General features: G+C 37.7%; 1 protein-coding gene and 1 pseudogene across 5 annotated transcripts in view, besides 5 other annotated features; both read right to left on the minus strand.

Annotated features, from left to right (window-relative positions):
* Positions 1-21,279, minus strand: part of RNGTT (RNA guanylyltransferase and 5'-phosphatase) — a 353,722-nt gene that overhangs the window by 100,782 nt on the left and 231,661 nt on the right. The window lies entirely within an intron of this gene.
* Positions 3,564-3,752, minus strand: LOC124901521 (uncharacterized; annotated as a pseudogene).
* Positions 8,539-8,739: a silencer, noted in NCBI's record as "peak5946 fragment used in MPRA reporter construct". NCBI's record gives its function as "represses an SCP1 promoter by STARR-seq MPRAs in K562 erythroleukemia cells {active_cell/tissue: K562}" and the evidence as "EXISTENCE:reporter gene assay evidence [ECO:0000049][PMID:32103011]".
* Positions 15,007-15,136: an enhancer, noted in NCBI's record as "active region_24816". NCBI's record gives its function as "activates an Ori minimal core promoter by ATAC-STARR-seq in GM12878 lymphoblastoid cells {active_cell/tissue: GM12878}" and the evidence as "EXISTENCE:reporter gene assay evidence [ECO:0000049][PMID:35858748]".
* Positions 17,920-18,479: an enhancer, noted in NCBI's record as "OCT4-NANOG-H3K27ac hESC enhancer chr6:89438317-89438876 (GRCh37/hg19 assembly coordinates)". NCBI's record gives its function as "activates a minimal SCP1, AML or CMV promoter by ChIP-STARR-seq in naive H9 embryonic stem cells {active_cell/tissue: H9 hESC(naive)}" and the evidence as "EXISTENCE:reporter gene assay evidence [ECO:0000049][PMID:30033119]".
* Positions 19,598-20,156: an enhancer, noted in NCBI's record as "OCT4-NANOG-H3K27ac hESC enhancer chr6:89439995-89440553 (GRCh37/hg19 assembly coordinates)". NCBI's record gives its function as "activates a minimal SCP1, AML or CMV promoter by ChIP-STARR-seq in naive and primed H9 embryonic stem cells {active_cell/tissue: H9 hESC(naive and primed)}" and the evidence as "EXISTENCE:reporter gene assay evidence [ECO:0000049][PMID:30033119]".
* Positions 20,157-20,715: an enhancer, noted in NCBI's record as "OCT4-NANOG-H3K27ac hESC enhancer chr6:89440554-89441112 (GRCh37/hg19 assembly coordinates)". NCBI's record gives its function as "activates a minimal SCP1, AML or CMV promoter by ChIP-STARR-seq in primed H9 embryonic stem cells {active_cell/tissue: H9 hESC(primed)}" and the evidence as "EXISTENCE:reporter gene assay evidence [ECO:0000049][PMID:30033119]".

Genomic DNA, 21,279 nt, shown 5'->3' on the forward strand with positions numbered 1-21,279 from the left:
TTTGTACTATCCTATTGTACAAATGTAAGGAGCATAACAAAATGACATCAGTGAAAATAAAATTTTATAGAAAAATGACAAATGCTCTCTTTTTGTATGAGGTAAGAAAAAAATTATATAGCTTTCCAAACACTCAAAATTGTAAACCAAGAAACATATTTCACAGTGATTTTTTTTAAAGTTAGACTATCTTTAGTAAATTGTTCTTGGCTTAAAATTAAAAGGCCAGACATTACTAATGGACTTAAATGTTTTCTTGAGTGGAACTGGAAATCCTTTCCAATTCACAATATGTTTTCAACTATAAACCATTTTACTTGTTTCCTTCATTTCTAATTTCAAATGAACAGAAAATCTAGTCTTGTTCTTAAATAATCTCTAGAGACAAATTTAATCTTTCAACATCCAGTCTTTGAATATTTTGTGCAAATAAACCCAAACTACTAATATTTCATTCAAAATAAAAAGCTTCACTTTTAAATTGTAGTGCTGACATCTAGAAATTTGCTTTTCAATAATGATCTGTCAACAGTACATACTTAGTTATTATTCATTTATAACTTTTCTCATAATTACATCTTCCAATTATTTAGGAACACCTGAAGACACCTTACCAAGAATTAGATACTAGTGAAGAGCTTAGTTCCAATCTTGACAATTTATACAATCCAGTCTATTTGCTCAAACATACACTGCATATTCTAAGAAATGTAGTTACTGTTCAGTAATATTATATAACATGTATTATTAGTTCCATATTAATAAAAGTGTTCTTAACCAAACTAATCTTGGTGTAGTACTTTACAGTTATATAGACTCCCTTTACAAACACACATTATACCTCATTTAATCTATATAACAATTCCATGCAATTCTGCTTAGTGGGTCTTAGACTATCAATGTACTTTGGATAATATTAACTTGCTACATCTTAAATTAATAGGTTTGAGGTAGCATGTTCACGCCCACTTGCAGAGAGTCAGCCTTTACCGCTAAGGAGTTTAAGAATTTTTAGTAACTGCAAATACATGAACATAGCAACCATACTGATAAATACCTACACGGATAAACTATTAAATGGACAGGCAGTAAGGAGCATTTGTTAGTTCACTCATTCACCCATTTACTCATTTTTTGAGCACCTATTGTGTGGTAGGCACTGTTATAGTTGGATTGGATATCTAAATGGCATTTATTAGAATGGAATTTATATTTAGAAGTAATTGAGAAATGATAATCTATTTTTACCATGAGAAATTAAGACTACTGGGAAAACAATCTAACTAGGTGAAGTACACTATTAATAGAAAGTAAAACTAAAAATGAATCTATAATTTGATAGTCTAAAGAGAAGCAAGCTGGAATAAAAACAAAATCAACATATCCACACCAAAGGACCAGATATCAGAAAGGGGTCACATGTTGATCTTTCCTTTAGGGGGATAAATTTAATCTAAAATATGTACTTGAGAATAGGCAAAGTGTAAAACACTTCATTACACACTGTGAGGATCAAGTAAACAGCTCATATAAGGCAAAATAAAATAAATGCTAATAATCAAATACTATGGGACTTCAAACATAGGAAGAATTAATTTGGACTCGGGAAATAAAAGGTATAATAAATAGGTTGTGTTGTTTTTTAAAAATAGAGTCCCACTCTGTCATCCAGACTGGAATGCAGTGGTGTGATCATAGCTCACTGCAGCTTTGAATTCCTGGACTCCAGCGATCCTCCCACCTCAGCCTTCCAAGTAGCTAGGACTACAGGCACATATCACCATGTCCAGCTAATTTTCTGGTTACTTTTTGTAGAGATAGGGTCTCACCATGTTGCCCACCAGGCTGGCCTCAAATTCCTGTCCTCATGTGATCCTCCTACCTTGGCCTCCCAAAATGCTAGGACTGTAAGCACAAGCTGGTGTGCCTGATAATACTTTAGTTTTATTATAGGCATTGCTAATCTTAGATAACTGAGCTATGGTCTCTAATTTTAAACTTCTTTAGTATCACCTCAAACTGAGTCATTTTAAAGAAAATACTCAATGTGAAAAACAGAAGCCGCTGACTGAAAAAGCAATACATTATGACCCAGCTTTATCTGATGTTGACTTGAATTTTAATAGAGTGCAAAAAGAGAATCTCAGGAATAGGAGAAAGTGTGAAAAAGAAAAATCACAAAAGAAATCTCCATGATGTTACAATACAAATGAATTGCTACATCAGGATGCTAACTCTCAAAGACAATCCTGCAAATGTGCTTCCATAATCAACATATTTAGCAGAATAAGAGATGAATCTAGAATTCAGGCCCTTAATTTTGAGTGGTAACTTTTCCCCAACATATAACAAACTACTCTAAAAAGAAACTATATCTATATGTTATGGGCTGCATGTTTGTGTTCCCTCAAGTCATGTGTTCAAACCCTAACCCTCAAAGAGATGGTATGAGGTGGTGGGGCCTTTGTGATGCAATTAAGTCATGAGAGTAGAATCCTCATGATGGGATTAATGCCTTTATATGAGACTCAATAACACTTGCTTCCTTTCTCTCTGCCATGTGAGGGTACAACAAGAAGGCTGCCATATGGAAACCAGGACCAGAACCTGACCATGCTGGCACCCTAATTTTGAACTTCCCATCCTCTAAAACTATGAAAAGTAGGTATCTGTTGTTTAAGTTACCCAGTCTATGGTATTCTTATTATAGCAGCCCAATCTGACACTGTATTTAGATAAATATTTAAATGCATTTAAACTAAGGGGGAAGGCAAAGATGAAATGAAAATTAAATAAGCCTGTTCCCAAATTCCAATTATTTCACACAACAGTATTCTTTCACATGGTAGCATCGATAGTTTATAAACCTATCCCAAATTTTCAGTGTCTTATATTGTGTATGTATATATAAAGTGCAGATATAGAATATATCTAATGACAAGTATATGTACTATATTTATGTTTGTTATATACGTATCACATTTTTCTTTACATTGTAAAAAATTAAATGGAATTGTTTATTTTCAAATAACCGCCATATTTCTTAACAAGAAAATATTTTTTTAAAATTATTGTCTTGTATTACGGGCTTTTTATTACGCTACATATGAAACAGGAGATATGATAATGATTTAACATTCTTGATGCATCAGACTGAAAAATTAGATATTTACAGACCATGTCTATAACAAAATTCTAATTGGATAATCTTTTCTTCCCCCTTGCTCTCATTGTGAAAGATATATAAATTTAATTTGGTTACGGGCACGGTCTATTGGGCTAAGCACAGGATGGTGGTTAAAGAAAACATTTAGAGTTCCAATCTTGGTCTGTTGTTCCACTTCCAATCTCAATGCACTGAATGCTCTTGGATAAGTCATAAACTAAATGACTTTTCTTGATTTCCTCATCTATAAAATGGAAATAACTGTCTTACCTCCCGAAGATACACTACTTAGATTAATTAATAACTGGGTAAAATACTGTGAAAAAGAAAGTGATGAAAGTGTTCCATGAAATTATAACTTAAAATTAAGTCATTATTGAAACTGACCTTTTAAAAAATATGTTGCTTGCATGGTTTGTCTCCCTAGTCATTGTCCACAGGACTCTGAGAGGCTGTGGGAATATGAAGCAAGACATGAGGCCAAGTTTTATCTCCAACATTGTGTAAAGGGACTGTACATCACGGGACACAGCCCTAGCTAACCTAAGCCACCTGGATAAAGCCTGGGAAGAGTGACTCAAGCTGAAAGTAAAAGTACTTTTTTTTTTTTTTTTTTGAGACGGAGTCTCGCTCTGTCGCCCAGGCTGGAGTGCAGTGGCGGGATCTCGGCTCACTGCAAGCTCCGCCTCCCGGGTTCACGCCATTCTCCTGCCTCAGCCTCCCAAGTAGCTGGGACTACAGGCGCCCGCCACTACGCCCGGCTAATTTTTTGTATTTTTAGTAGAGACGGGGTTTCACCGTTTTAGCCGGGATGGTCTCGATCTCCTGACCTCGTGATCCGCCCGCCTCGGCCTCCCAAAGTGCTGGGATTACAGGCGTGAGCCACCGCGCCCGGCCTAAAAGTACTTTTTAAAAGTACTTTTAAAAATGTAAACTGAACACTCCAATTGCATTTGTGAAATGACGTATCTCAAAACAATAAGAGCTATCTATGACAAACCCACAGCCAATATCATACTGAATGGGCAAAAACTGGAAGCATTCCCTTTGAAAACTGGCACAAGACAGGGATGCCCTCTCTCACCACTCCTATTCAACATAGTGTTGAAGTTCTGGCCAGGGCAATTAGCCAGGAGAAGGAAATAAAGGGTATTCAATTAGGAAAAGAAGAAGTCAAATTGTCCCTGTTTGCAGATGACATGACTGTATATCTAGAAAACCCCATTGTCTCAGCCCAAAATCTCCTTAAGCTGACAGGCAACTTCAGCAAAGTCTCAGGATACAAAATCAATGTACAAAAATCATAAGCATTCTTATACACCAATAATAGACAAACAGAGAGCCAAATCATGAGTGAAATCCCATTCACAATTGCTTCAAAAAGAATAAAATACCCAGGAATCCAACTTACAAGGGATGTGAAGGACCTCTTCAAGAACAACTACAAACCACTGCTCAATGAAATAAAAGAGGATACAAACAAATGGAAGAACATTCCATGCTCATGGGTAGGAAGAATCAATATCGTGAAAATGGCCATACTGCCCAAGGTAATTTATAGATTCAATGCCATCCCCATCAAGCTACCAATGACTTTCTTCACAGAATTGGAAAAAACTACTTTAAAGTTCATATGGAACCAAAAAAGAGCCCGCATTGCCAAGTCAATCCTAAGCCAAAAGAACAAAGCTGGAGGCATCACACTACTTGACTTCAAACCATGTTACAAGGCTACAGTAACCAAAACAGCATAGTACTGGTACCAAAACAGAGAAATAGACCAATGGAACACAACAGAGCCCTCAGAAATAATGCCGCATATCTACAACCATCTGATCTTTCACAAACCTGACAAAAACAAGAAATGGGGAAAGGATTCCCTATTTAATAAATGGTGCTGGAAAAACTGGCTAGCCATATGTAAAAAGCTGAAACTGGATCCCTTCCTTACACCTTATACATAAATTAATTCAAGATGGATTAAAGACTTACATGTTAGACCTGAAACCATAAAAACCCTAGAAGAAAACCTAGGCATTACCATTCAGGACATAGGCATGGGCAAGGACTTCATGTCTAAAACACAAAAAGCAATGGCAACAAAAGCCAAAATTGACAAATGGGATCTAATTAAACTAAAGAGCTTCTGCACGGCAAAAGAAACTACCATCAGAGTGAACAGGCAACCTACAAAATGGGAGAAAATTTTCGTAACCTACTCATCTGACAAAGGGCTAATATCCAGAATCTACAATGAACTCAAACAAATTTACAAGAAAAAAACAAACAACCCCATCAAAAAGTGGGCAAAGGATATGAACAGACATTTCTCAAAAGAAGACATTTATGCAGCCAAAAGACACATGAAAAAATGCTCATCATCACTGGCCATCAGAGAAATGCAAATCAAAACCACAATGAGATACCATCTCACACCAGTTAGAATGGCAATCATTAAAAAGTCAGGAAACAACAGGTGCTGGAGAGGATGTGGAGAAATAGGAACACTTTTACACTGTTGGTGGGACTGTAAACTCGTTCAACCATTGTGGAAGTCAGTGTGGTGATTCCTCAGGGATCTAGAACTAGAAATACCATTTGACCCAGTCATCCCATTACTGGGTACATACCCAAATGACTATAAATCATGCTGCTATAAAGACACATGCACACCTATGTTTATTGCAGCACTATTTACAATAGCAAAGACTTGGAACCAAGCCAAAAGTCCAACAATGATAGACTGGATTAAGAAAATGTGGCACATATACACCATGGAATACTATGCAGCCATAAAAAATGATGAGTTCATGTCCTTTGTAGGGACATGGATGAAGCTGGAAACCATCATTCTCAGCAAACTATCGCAAGGACAAAAAACCAAACACTGCATGTTCTCACTCATAGATGGGAACTGAACAATGAGAACACATGGACACAGGAAGGGGAACATCACACACCGAGGCCTGTTGTGGGGTGGGGGGAGCAGGGAGGGACAGCATTAGGAGATATACCTAATGTTAAATGACGAGTTACTGGGTGCAGCACACCAACTTGGCACATGTATACATATGTAACTAACCTGCATGTTGTGCACATGTACCCTAAAACTTAAAGTATAATTAAAAAAAATGTAAACTGAGCACTCATTCCATTTGTGAAAAGATCACCTGACTCATTTGAAACTTTATCTTTCAGGGTGTGGGACAGCCTCAAAATAAGTGAGAACTTATGGTTTAGAATAGAAAGCCTCCACTGGCTCCACAAAGGAGCTATAGTGTAGTAATACAACACCAGACTCATTTAATCTACAGCACTAGAAGAATTAAAAGATAAATGATCATCCAAAATGAATTTCATGTAACAATCCTAAAAGACTGAGGTTATTGTTCAATATAATACTTTTTATCTTTCCTCCTCTAAATTATAAATTGTTTACTAAAGGTGTAGAAATTGTTGATTTGAAAATTAATTTGGTAGAACTGCTTTAGGTGTTTATTTTACTCACCTCTTCCTTTCTCAAATCACAAAGATCTCAGATGGATACAAATATCTCAAGAAATACGCACCTATTTTTGATTTCAATTCAACAAGTAATTAGTGAGCAACTACAGTGTCAACTCTTCTTAGGTTATGCATAATATAACTTTTGTAAATTAAATTATATGTTCCTGCAAAACTGTTTTCAGAAGAAGGAGAGAAGGTGGCAGTCTGACAAGGGAGCTCAGGATCCAAGGAACAAAATGATGATCAATACTTTGGGTTTTCTTTTTGTCTCATGTATTTCAGACTGGATACTGGAGACACCAGCAACGCAAAAACGCCAATGGAGGAGACCCAGAAAAGAAAAGCCCCAAGAAAAGCATGCCCTCTCTATCCAGGAAGCGGGCAGCCTAGCAAGACAGAAGCTTTTCGACAATAACCACTCCACTCTAGCTAACCACCACAGAAAAAAACAGCAGCCCACCCCCACCAACCCTGCCAGCAAAGGCCAAGTGGTGAAGCTAGATGTCCATCCTCTGTAGGCTGTAAAAAGAAGTCCCAATCTTCTGCTGGGGTAGAAACAGAGAAGGCTGAGTGGGGGAGCCACCCACAAAGATATCAGTGAAGACCAAGAGGAGACCATTCAACTTCACTCCTAGGTTAATTCTCTTCAATAGTAGCTGCTACTGAATTAATCTGGCCAGGAGGCAAAGTAGGGCAAGAATAGAGTGTATTACAGAAATTCACAAGAAAGTGCTAACTCGCCATTTAAGTACTGTTTATAGCTAGGTGTGGTGACTCATGCCTGTAATCTTAGCACTTTGGGAGGCAGGCGGATTACTTGAGGCCAGGAGTTCGAGACCAGCCTAGCCAACATGGGGAAACCTCATCTCTACTAAAAACACAAAAATCAGCCGGGCGTAGTGGCACATGCCTGTAATCCTAGCTACTTAGGAGGCTGAGGCACGAGAATCACTTGAACCCAGGAGGTGGAGGTTATAGTGAGCCAAGATTGTGCCACTGCACTCCGGCCTAGGCAACAGAGTGAGACTGTCTCTCAAAAAAAAAAAAAAAGAAAGGAAAAAAAAGTACTGTTTATAGAGCTCCTATTGTTACAAGGCACTAGGCTGGAGAAATGGAAGGAAAGATATGTTAATAGATGGGGGCTGACAAAAATTAAAAAAAATAAAGTAGTGTCTACTGATCTTTTAATTCAAGCCTATGATTTGCCCTAATGACAAGACTATATCATAAAAATGAGTTCATATAAGAAAAAAATGGGTATAACAAAAGAAAAATACTTTAAAGAGGTTTGGAGCCCCTTCTATTTTATTTCTTATTTGTATTTATATTATTTTATTATTATTCCTAATCAGACTGAAGTTGCAACATTTCTGTATATGCTTAAAGTCACATAGAAATGTATGCTGCCAACTCTTTTGCTATCTTCCAATTAGGAAAAAAATAAATGAACCACAGCGAAGAAGTAGATTATATGAGGAAAACCTTTAAAAATTAGTGGAAGAGAGGATACAGAGTATCCAAAACCAGATGTTTAGTTGATATATTTCTTTTAAAATATACGTTCACAAATCTCATTGCAACAGAAGGCTATCCCTTTTCATAGTATAAAAATGGTTAAAAGCAATGATACATATTTAGAGTTACAAAAAATAAACATCTAAGTAAAGCAGTTTCAAGCCTAATGTACAAGTTATTTGGATAAGAAAATGGGCATTAAGAAAATAGCAGACTTGAGATTTAGGTTCACTAGGACCACTTAGTGTAAGTGTATTACTGGCAAATTCAATAGCCTTAGAGAGGTCATCATGGTTAGCCTTCTTCAATCCCTCTGCCTAGAATACTGCAAGGTATCAATAAATGCTTACTTAATGAAGGAATGCCACATTTGACATTTGGCTTTCCCTTCACTTAGCTTCCGTGAAACTTTTCTGACTGCCTCGAAAATCACAGGCTATCACTTGGAATTCAGTTATCTGCTATTCTTAAACAAATGTGGACTTTTTTATTCCTTCTGTGGTTCAACTCAGACACTGCAACTTTGAACTGAAATAAATGATTCACTCTCTAGTCTAAATGTATTCAACTGGTTACTGAGAAAATTTCAGATTTATACTGCTTCTTCCAACTTGATTACAGTACTTTAATACCTGCATTCCAAATGTTAAACTACCTCTAATCCTTTACATTTGTAATAAAAACAAATACTTTACATATTTATTATTGCAACTTCCAGTGTTTACTCTGTGAAACTTATGAAGAGATTGCATTTTTACCTTGTACATTTATTCAGCTTGGCTAAAGAACTCAATTTAAATTTTATCTATATTAAAAAGCCTCTGAAATACAAGGACACTTGGTTTTCAATTTGCATTTAAAAGATGTGTATTTAACAAAATGTTTTATTTCTTTCAAAAGAATTTAATTTGAAGTTCTCAGGGTACTTGTACCAAAGTACATATTATCATAAAAATAGGTAAGAAATTCAAAGATGACCTAACAGAATTCCTTGTCATCTTTCTTACTTTACATATGAAGAAACAAAAAGCCATTCGTGTTTAATGATTCACCTGTCAGTACATCTACTCATTTCATCGTCCAAGAAGTGTTGAGCATCTCCAGGCTGGCATTTGGTGCACAGTAAAGAATAAAAACACATCCCTACTCTGTGGCTAGCGGTTTAGAGGAGAACTAAAACCTTGGTTGAGCTCAACTCCTAGTCTAACATGTTTCCATTGCATTGGTTATAGTCAGAATTCACTTACAAAGCATTCATTCTCCAATGGTGCATGCTAGTAATATTTAATGGTGCCATTAATTAGATAGAATATCCTAAGTAAAAAAGTTAAACTTTTCCACTACCTATTAAAGACTTTGGGCATTATCAATATGTTACAGTTCCTATGAGATAAAATTATTATTAAATCTATACTTTTCAGATTTCAAGACCTTCACATATTTTTTCTGCCCTACCTAAACTTTACAATGATAACAAATTTCTATAGTCTTCAGCCTTTTATTATTTTCTAGCCACAATCCCTTTACCCTCACCTAAACACACACCACAATACACACATCAGACTCTAATTTTTCATACAAGTTATACCACCTCTCTGGGAACATTCTCCTGAGTCTAGTGTTCTCATCCAAACCCTGGACTTAATTAGAAAGAACGACAAAAAACTTACCCTCCCAATCATCCTTAATTACCTAGTACTTATTACTGTTTCATTAAATTTGATCCCTAAAGCTCCAGAGATGTTAATTGCCCAGGTTGTGAATATGGTATTTGCTATGTCATTAATGAAATTATAATTTCAAAAAAAGAATTTTTCTGATCACTTTTAAAGAAAAGTACTATCGAACAGATTAGGAATCTGGTCTACCACTTATGCAAATACAAAAGTACTATTTATAAGGAAAAAAAGGTAAATCTGAGTATATGATGAGTATTTAACATTCATTAAGGGTTAAGGCACGTTCTAGCTGAGAAAAGCTTCTGGAGTGGTAAAAACTGTTGGATAAAAAATTGCAAATGTTAAGGAAATCATCACACAAATAATGACGTCAAACCATGTTTTTTATGTTAGTTCAAACTTTGGATGGTATTTTAAAAAATTACTTCTCTACTTCTTTCCTCTCTTGTGGTCCCAAGACACATTCTCTTCTGAACCTCTTTCCCTCTTTGGAAGTTTCCATTCAATATAGGCATTTTATTGGCTGTTCTTCTCCTAACACCCCTTAAATATAGGTGTTACCCAGAGTTTTATCTAGAAAGGTACCTAATTTTTATATTTATCCTAAGCAATTTAATTCACTGGTATGGTTTTAACACATATGAATTGATCACTTCCAAATCTCTACCTTAAATCCAAACTACACTCTCGATTCCAGATTAATACATTCCACCACTTGGTGGGCAATTGTACTGATACATTCCTGTCAAAAATCAAATTAGTAATCTACTCTTATAATATTTATTACATTTTGGTTGATGATCCCAGCCTCTCTAAAGAAGGAAGCTGGGGTTCCTCCTTGCCCCCACAACTAACCACTAAATCTAATTTTTTGTTTGTTTTTGGTCTTCCAAATTCATCCTCTTTTTTTATATATAGTAACATTTTTTCCAAGTTCTCATCATCCCTTCTCTGTCCTTTGCTTTATCATGCTTTCAGCCCACACTCTACAATGTCCTTAACTTGACTGTACACAAATCTGATTGCTTTCCTTACCTGCTCAAATCTTTCACTGAATCCCCCAAATCTAAAAGATAATGGCTAAACTCTTCAGAATGATCTGGCCTCTACCTACTGTTTATATCTCATTATAACAACCTTCCTTACAGTCTAAGGTCCAAAAATAACAAGCCACCTACAATCTTCAAATTACTCCATGTTGTTTCAAGTCTCCACTGCCTTTAAATATTCTAGTCTGCCTGGACATACCTTCCTACCAAGTCTGTCTGATAAATTCCTATTTCTCCTTCAAAATTCAGCTCTCATGTAAATATTCTCTAATGCTTCCTTCTCCACACTAAAGTGGAGTTTTCTATCATTATCATTTCTACAATGCTACCTTTTTAAATCTTGTTTTCTCTCTATTAGACTTAGGAACAACTAAGACATTGGCTATGTCTAAGCCACCTTGTATCCTAAGCACCTAGCACAAAGGTTGGCATACACATGCCTCAAAAATATTTATTAAATTATATACTTAAAATGGATTCACAAGAATTCCATCACCTAGTATCTATCATACTAGATTATACCAAGGAAAAAACAATTCTAAGACTGCGTTTAAATAGGCCAATGTCATTAGCAAAATGTTTAGAGTAAATTCAAGTTATTGTAAAACTCAGATCTACCATCTAGTCACTTGTATTTTTTCATTAAGCAATTAAAGAGGTGATCATTAGGAAATACAGAACAAATATATACAAATTTTAAGAACACAGACTTTGGTTTTCAGCTACAACATGTAACAGAGTGTGCAAGTCATCATTCCCACTCTAAAACAAGAAAAAAAGATAAACCAAAAATACATGACTTTTCTAAGACTCATCAGAGAATTCAGATCACAGGGCACACTGTCACCCTAAAATCTAAAGACACAGGAGAAGAGAAAGAATCATAGCCAAGAACAGCACAGATCAGCGTATCTTGAACAAAAGCTGCTGGAGTCATAATAAATGGTAAGAACACTTACATGATAATTTTGACAAATTACTGGAAGTGAGTATGGATTACTTGGTAGTAAAAAGTTGCTGGTGACCTAGTCTTAGGGCAACCTTAATATTTTGACGGGTTTTATTTCCAGGCTTTTGACAAGGTTTTCACATGAAAGATCCAAGAAAAATCCCCTCACATATAAGAAAGTGGGAGAAGAAAAGTAACTATAGTCATGAGCCTCATAACAATGTTTGGAACAACGATATACGGTTATCAAAGGTGGTCCCATAAGATTATAATGAAGCTGAAAAATTCCTATCATCTAGTGACATCATAACATCATAGTGCAATGCATTATTCACATGTTTGTGGTAACGCTGGTATAAACAAACCTACTGGGCTGCCAGCTGTACAAAAGTACAGCATATATAATTATGTACAGTACCTAACACTTGATAGTAATGAAAATGTTACTAGCTTTTGTATTTACAATAGTGTATTTGTATTGTTATTTTAGAATGTATTCCTTCTACTTATTTAACAGCAACAACAAAAAGTTAACTTAGAGATTAACTCAGACAGGTCCTTCAGGAGGTATTCCAGAACATGGCATTGTTATAGATTTCAGTTCCACGTGTGTTACTGGCCCTGAAGACCTCCAAACCAAACATGATGTGGAGGTGACAAACAGTGAAACTGATTATCCTGACCCTATATAGCCTAGGCTAATGTGTGTGTTTGTGTCTTATGTGGAGTTCTGATAAGTAAGCAACAATGAGGAAGGAGCCCCAGGTAGGAAAGAACAACGAACAATTCTTCTGACAGATGGCTAATCACAAACAACCTGATAACTCAATGACCCATGCAGCCCCCTCAGTACAACCCTATAAAACTTCTCTACAGCCCCTGCCTCTTTGCAGACAGCCCCTTCTCTGCTGTGCTGCCCGTTGCTACTTTGCAACATTATTTTCATACTTTCTCTAATAAATCTACCTTTCTTTACCTACAGTTGTCCTGATAAATTCCTTTACCACCTGTGTCACCAGCCCCAGATAGTCACTACCTGCAACATCTTAGTTTTTAACAAAAAAGTAAAATTGAAAAATTAAAAAGCATTAAAAATTAAAAATTTTGAAAATATAAAAATCTTATAGAATAAGGATATCAAGAAAGAAAATATTTTTATACAGTTCTACAATGTGTTTGGGTTTTGTTTTTTGTCTTTTGAGGCAGAGTCTCGCTCTGTCACCCAGACTGGAGTGCAGTGGTGCAATGTGGGCTCATTGCAACCTCCGCCTCCCAGGTTCAAGCGATTCTCCTGCCTCAGCCTCCCCAGTAGCTGGGATTACAAGCACGCCCCACCATGCCCGGCTAATTTTTGTATTTTTAGTAGAGACGGGATTTCACCATGTTGGCCAGGCTGGTCTCAAGCTCCTGGCCTCAGGTGATCCGCCTGCCTCAGCCTCCCAAAGTGATAAGATTACAGGCGTGAGCCACCGCGCTCAGCCGTGTTTGGGTTTTAACCTAACTCTTTTTACAAAAGAGTCAAAAGGTTTAAAAAAAAATCCTAAAAGTTTGTAAAGTAAAAAAGTTATAGTGAGCTAAGGTTAATTTATTGTTGAAGAAAACTTTTAAATAAATTTAGTGTAGCCGAAGTGTGCTGTGTTTATAAAATCTACAGGAGTATGTAGTAATGTCATAGGCCTTCACACTCACTCACCACTCACTGACTTACCCAGAGCAACTTCCAGTCCTGCAAGTTCTATTAGGTGCCTGATACAGGTGTACCATTTTAAAAAATCTTTTGTACCTTATTTTTACTGTACGATTTCTTGTTTAGATATGTTATAATATGTAAATACAATTGTGTTACAATTGCCTACAATATTTAGTATAGTAATATGCTGTACACATTTGTAGCCTAGGAGCAATCCGCTATGCCATATAGCCTAGGTGTGTGGTAGGTTATACCATCTAGGACAGTGATCCCCAACCTTTTTGGCACCAGGCACTAGTTTCATGGAAGAAAATTTTTCCACAGACAGGGGAAGGGGGAGATGGTTTCTGGATGAAACTCTTCCACCTCAGATCATAAGGAGCACATGACCTAGATCCCTCACACGTGCAGTTCATAATAGAGTTCCTGCTCTTTTGAGAATTGTCAGGCATGAGTTCTAAATTTCTTTTCAAAGAATCAATATGTCAGTATGTTCAATTCCTCGTCTTCTACTTTTAAACTTAACTTCCTCGTAAAGCAACCTTTTTCGATTACCTGCTCCACCCTGACTCATTCCCATTACCTGCTCTGTCATAACCATTTTTCCCGCCAAACCACTCATCCTGTCACTCTTTTTAAATTAGCCAATCAGAATCACTTTAGCCTGTGCCATCTAACCCTAACCAATAGGGGAAGGACACAGCAGCAGGGGCCACATGGTCACGGATAAGAACCCCTTCCCCTCCCTTGCCCAAGTGTGCGCTCACCATTGCTCCATGTGTAAGGGCACACCCTTCTATAGAAGTACCTTGCCTTGCTGAGAATTAAAAAGAAAATTTTATATTCAAGTGCTATTTCTTTTGTGGCACCAAAACTTCACTTATAACAATTCCGGGGCTGGCCGGGGATTACATTCCCTTCCCGGGGCGGTCTCTGGTTGTCTCTCGTGAGGAGGCGTGGCCCGCCCCCTTGTGGCAGCCTCAGGGGTGAGAAATCAGGACCCACCCAGTGTGAGGAATAACCCAAGCCCTCAGCAACGTGGAAAGAAACTGGCCAGAAACCTAGCTTAAAGGATCCTCATATACTGCCATGATGATTCTGTGTACAGACCAAGGAAGGATGTTGCAGATGGTGAAGTATTTCCTTGGTGGTTGGGACTGAGGAAAAAGCTGCAGGGTGGTAAAGCATTCCTTGGTTAAGACATACCAAGGAGAGAGAAACCGCAGGGGCGGTAAAGCATTCCTTAGTCAGGACTAGGGAAAGAAAGCCACAGGGGGTGGTGAAGTATTCCTCAGTTGGGATGTCTTGGAGGTTAAAAAGAGGTGAGAGATCTCCATTCAGGAGGGGGTTGAAACTCAGAAAGAGGTGAGAAATCCCCATGGGGGGCGGGGTGTTGAACCTCAGAAAGAGGTGAGAAATCCCCATGAGGGGGAGTTGAATCTCAAAAAGAGGTGAGAAATCCCCATGAGTGGGGGTTGAACCTCACACAAACCTCCGGTAGTAAGAAAAATATTCAGAACCCCCCTTTCCTTTCTTCTCAGGGGAAGAAAGAGTAGCTCCACTCCAGCCAGTCCCTCCCCTAGGGGAAGGGGAAGGAGAGGGGAGAACAGCAGCATAAGCGGCTGGCACAGGCAGGGAAAGACCAGCAAAGAGGAAAGAGAAACTGGGAGAGGAAATCAGAGAGAAACAGAGAGAAAGAGACAGAGAGTCAGAGGGAGAGAGAGAGAGAAAGAGAGAGACAGGCGGAGAGATAAAGAGAAAGACAAAGAGGAAATCAGAGAGAGAGAGAGAGACAGAGAGTCAAAGAGAGATAGAGAGATAGAAGTAGTAAAGAGAAAAGAGTGTATCCTATTCCTTTAAAAGCCAGGGTAAATTTAAAACCTATAATTGATAATTGAAGGTCTTCTCTATGACCCTGTAACACTCCAATACCACCTTGTTGTCAGTGTAAATAAGGGCATAGCCCGAAAGCACTGAGGCCACTGACAATCCATAGCCTTCCTATCAAAAATCCTTAACCCAGTAACCCACGGATGGCCTAAATGCATTCAATCTGTACCGGCAACTGCTCTCCTAACAGAAGAAAGTAGAAAAACAACTTTTAGAGGAAACCTCATTGTGAGCACACCACATCAGGTCAGAACTATCCTAAGTCCAAAAAAAAAAAAAAAAAAGCAAAAAGGTAGCTTACTGACTTAAGAACTTTAAAGTATAAGGCTATTCCATTAGAAAAAGATGATTTAACATTAACCACTGAAAATTCCCTTAACCCAGCAGGTTTCCTAACATGGGATCTAAATCTTAATTACCATACAAAGGTCCGACCAAACCTAGGAGGAACTCCCTTCAGGACAGGAGGATAGATGGTTCCTCCTGGGTGACTGAAGGAAAAAGACACAATGGGTATTCAGTAAGTGATAAGGAAACTCTTGTAGAAGCAGAGTTAGGAAAAGTGCCTAATAATTAGTCTGCTCAAATGTGTGGCATATTTGCACTCAGCCAAGCCTTAAAGTACTACAGAATCAGGAAAGACCCATCTATACCAATTCTAAGTTAATATGGACTGAATGAGGTCTTATTAAAAGCAAAGAATAATTGAAATCCCAAACTTACAAGGTTTTCAACAAAAGTAAAGTTTGCTAAAAGTTAACAGTGTAACATGCATTATCCTAACTTCTAATCTTGTGGCCTTAGACGGTCTAGTCCACAGACATGAAGGAAGTTCACTTTGGAAAAGAATGATTATCATCTCTGGGGAAAAAAAGGGGTGGGGGGGGAGAATTTATGTAAAAAGGAATGTTATATGGTAAATTTTTGTCCTAAAATAACTGGTTGTTTAAAGAAAGGGATGTTTGCAACAAGTCAGAAAGTTGAGGCATGTCAAAGAATTGTAAAAGTCGTGAAAAAAAAGTTATAAAACGGAATTTATGCAAAAAATGTTGCATAATTTAAAAGTAATTAGGCCTCCTGAATGTAAAACTATTGAAGAAACAGTGAATGTGCAAGGTGTATAAGGAAAGTAAAATACATCTTTGGTAAAAGGATTATAAGTAGGCATAAGAATGTGGATTTTTACATACATTAAAAGGTTAAAAAATTTTTTCTTTTAAAGGTTTAAGCAAGTTTTGAAATGTTAATTGTGAAGGTAATTCTGTGTGTAAACATATTGGCTAAAGTTAAAGGTGTATCATCCAGTTTTTCTGTGAACTGGACATTAAAATAAAAGCACAACAGGTTTTTCTTAAAGCACTAACCTGCTCTTTAACAAAAATTATAAAAGGTTAAAAGGAGTCTATAAAAATCTTACTTTATGGTCAGACATTAAAATTGGATAAATAGGTCTACAAGGTTTTATTAAAATTGAGTTTAACATTAATAACACACTAATATAAAGGTGAAATTTAGCTTATCTGGTATAAAAATCATACAGGAAGCATTGTCAAATATAAAATGGTGTTTGGCTTTTTTTGGTCTAAAAACTAATAAAAATAGGTGCTAAAGGAAATTTCTCAGTAAGAAGGCACCAAGGACTATAAAGTCCACTGCTGATGTCCCCACATTTAAAACAAAAGGTCAGTTTCTTAGAAATTATATACTTGGTTTATCTGCCACTTGGCCTTTACCTCAAAACTAAAAATCTTTTAGCAGAGGTACCACCCCTAGAATTTCCGGTAAACTAGCACCAGCCTGAGGATCACGTTCTCATCAAAGGGTGGAAAGAAGGAAAACTCGAGTCAGCCCGGGAAGGACCCTACCTTGTGCTGCTAACCACCGATAATGCTGTTCCTATAGTGGAAAGGGGATGGACTCATCACACCCGAGTCAAGAAAGCACCGTCCCCTCCAGGGTCATGGGCCATAGTCCCAAGGGAAAACCCTACCAAACTAAAGCTAAGAAAAATTTAACTCTCTCTCTTTCTTCTATTCTAATACTCTTTCTTCTTTCCTCACTCTATTGCTGACCATCTAGTTATTAACATAACCAAGTCAATTTTGCTTCAAACTTTTGCATTTAATGCTTGCCTTGTTATACCCTGTGGGGACTTGCCAAGGCAAAGACAGCTCTCTACTTCAGAAAAGTACCTCTGTCCCTCCTGACTCTCGTCAGACTGGGCATTAGAGAATTGGGACCATTTAATCCGGGGAGATTTTGATAAAGACCCCAGTGTCAACCAGGAGTCTTGTCCCACCAATGTAGAGCTTTTATGCTGTAGCTGGTCCAAAGTTCTGTGGACCACTAAAGAGCAAGAATAGACTGCTCCAACTGGTTTTTGTAATTTCCTAAAACCATACATTCATTTTACTAGAGGGACAGCTATCCCCCAACTGTAAGCTAAACCAGTGTAATCCTATACAGGTTATTATCTTAAACCCTCAAAGTTCTTCCCCTTTTCTAAGTTGGTTCCCTTCTTTAAGCCAGTTTTATGATATGGGGGCTGAGGTTTCAGGGACAGACCCTATTAGATTCTTTGAAATGTGTTTCTTTAATCCCCCGCTGCCTGTACCTTCCTCTAAGCCTTCTTCCAAAACCTTTTACAACGGAAGAATTTCTCCTCCTCTGTCTAACAACAAGACCAAAATAGCTATTGTAGAAGTTAAAGACTTAAAACAAACTTTGGCAATTGAGACAATACTAAGATGCAAATGCCTGGTTGAAATAGATCAAATATTCCCTCCGCACGTTAAACAAAAGCAATTGTTATGCTTGTATGCATGGCAGGCCAGAGGCCCAGATTGTCCCCTTTCCACTAGGGTGGTCCTCCAGTCGACCGGGCGTGGGCTGCATGGTAGCTCTTTTCCAGGATTCTACCGCCTGGAGTAACACATCATGCCAAGCTCGCTCTCTGCTATATGTCAAAGTCCGACACCCTGCGGGTCAGCCCTGAGGGCCATCCAGCTTCCATCTCCCAACACTAAGCTCACTTTGTGTCTCTCACGACAGGCAGGAAACTTAGAGTTCCTTGGAGACCTGAAGGGATGCAGTGAGCTTAAAAATTTTCAAAAGCTTACCAATCAGTCCTTATTCATCCCTGAGTAGATGTGTAGTGGTATTATGATGGACCTTTACTGGACACTGTCAAGTAACTAAAGTGGCACTTATGCTTTAGTCCAATTGGCTATCCCTTTTACCCTGGCATTTCATCAACCAGAAAAAGAAAAAAAAAAAAAAAAAGACATCATAAAGCAAAAGAAGCCCCTTATGGGTCTTTTGACTCTCACATCTATTTAGACACAATTAGAGTCCCAAGGGGAGTACCAGATCAATTTAAAGCCCGAAATCAAATAGCTGCAGGATTTGAGTCAATATCTTGGTGGGTGACAATTAATAAAAATGTAGATTGGATAAACTACATCTATTATAACCAACAGCGATTTATTAACTACACTAGAGATGTTGTTAAAGAATAGCTGAGCAATTAGGGGATACTAGCCAGATGGCTTGGGAAAATTGTGATAGGCTTAGACATGATATTAGCAAAAAGAGGAGTTTGTGTCATGATTAAAACTCAATGTTATACCGTCATCCCAAACAACACCGCCCCTGATGGAAGTATAACAAAGGCATTGCAAGGTCTGACTGCTCTGTCCAATGAGTTAGCCAACAACTCAGGGGTAAATGACCCCTTTACAGAATGGCTAGAAAAGTGGTTTGGTAAATGGAAAAGAATAATATCCTCAATTCTTCCTTCCCTCGCAGCTGTAATGGGTGTATTTATTCTTGTCAGGTGCTGTGTCACACCATGCATCTGTGGGTTGGTGCAGAGGCTCATAAAAATGGCACTTACTAAAACCTTCCTTAACTGTCCTCCACCTTATCCAGAGAAGCTTCTTTTGGAAAATCAAGCAGAACAACTAAGCCAAGACATGTTAAAAAGTTTGTTAGGAAATGCAAGAGGAGGGGTTGTTAGATATGAGTTCCAAATTTCTTTTCAAATAATCAATATGTCAATATGTAAAATTCTTTGCCTTCTACTTTTAAACTTAACTTCCTCAAAAAGCAACCTTTTTGGATTACCTGCTCCACCCTGACTCATTCCCATTACCTGCTCTGTAATAACCATTTTTCCCGCCAAACCACTCACCCTGTCACTCTCTTTAAATTAGCCAATTGGAATTAGTTTAGTCTGTGCCATCTAACCCTAGCCAATAGGTGAATGACACAGCAGCAGGGGCCACATGAGTCAGGGATAAGAACCTCTTCCCATCCCTTGTCCAACTGTGTGCTCACCATTGCTCCATCTGTAAGGGCGCACCCTTCTATAGAAGTACCTTGCCTTGCTCAGAATTAAAAAGAAAATTTTATATTCAAGTGTTATTTCTCTTGCGGCACCAAAACTTTACTTACAACAAGAATCTAAGGCTGCCACTGATCTGACAGCAGGCGGAGCTCAGGCGGTAATGCTCACCTCCTGCTGCGCAGCCCAGTTCCTAACAGGCCATGGACTGGTACGGGTCTGTGGCCTGGGAGTTGGGGATCCCTCATCTAGGACACTCTATAATGTTCACACAAGGAGAAATCTCCTAAGGACATCCCACCAGCATGACTGTATTTACAAATGTGCCCAGATCATTCAACATAACAAAGGCCTGCCCTCAAGGGAAACTAATATAACAATGGCTTATCTGATCTGAGGGAAGGGAAAGTAACCACCTCCAGCCCTGTCTAGTCTTCTGTCTCATCTAAGAGGCCAAAACAAACAAACAAAAAACCTAAGAAACACTAAGGTCACAGCCCAGGAATGCAAGCCTCCTAAAAGACTGATATTTTGTCATAGGATTGTAGAACACTTCCCCTCCCCTCCCTGACACCTTACCACTACACCAAAAGGGCTCCAGAAGAATTAAAATAGATTACAAATGAAAGAGCTACAACACAGAGACTCTATTTAAGAAAAAGTTCTTAGAGAACCCAAAAACAACAAAGGAAAGAATAAAAGCCCCCCCAAAAAAACATAAAAACAAGGACAAAACAAAAAACAAAAAGCTGATGGCATCTACATGTGCAGCAAAACAGTAAACACAGCCCACAGGTCTTAGCTAGACTAAAAGAAACCTCAAACTAAAGGCCAATCTACTTCACTTCCTATTATCCAAAATATTATACACTATGTCCAGCATTCAACAAAATAATCACAATGTATGCTAACAGGCAGGAAAAACCACAGTCTGAAGAGACAAAGCAAACACCTGAACCAGACTCAGATATAACATAAATTATGGAATGAGATAGTGATTTTAAAGTAACAACAATTAATATGTCAAGAACTCTAATGGATAGATAGTATGCAAGAACAAATTGTTAATGTCAGCAGAGAGATGGAAACTCTAAGAATGAATGAAAAGAAAATATACAACAATAAAAAATAAACAAACTGGACTTCACAGAAAGATTTTAAGATGTATTCACCAAAAGATACCATCGACAGGGCAAAAGGCAACCTACAGATGGAAAAAAAATTGCAAATCATATATCCAATAAAGGTTTAACATCAAGAATACAGCTGACCTTTGAACAATGTCAGGGGCACTGACCTCCCATGCAGCTGAAAATCCACATGTAACTTTTGATTCCCCCAAAACTTAACTACTAATAGCCTGCTGTTGACCAGAAGCCTTACCAATAACATAATCAATTAACATATATTTTGTATATGTATTATATACTATATTCTTAAAATAAAGTAGGCTAAAGGAAAGAAAATGTTAAAAAATCATAAGGAAGAG

Source organism: Homo sapiens, chromosome 6 (genome assembly GCF_000001405.40).
Source record: "Homo sapiens chromosome 6, GRCh38.p14 Primary Assembly".
NCBI classification, from domain to species: domain Eukaryota; kingdom Metazoa; phylum Chordata; class Mammalia; order Primates; family Hominidae; genus Homo; species Homo sapiens.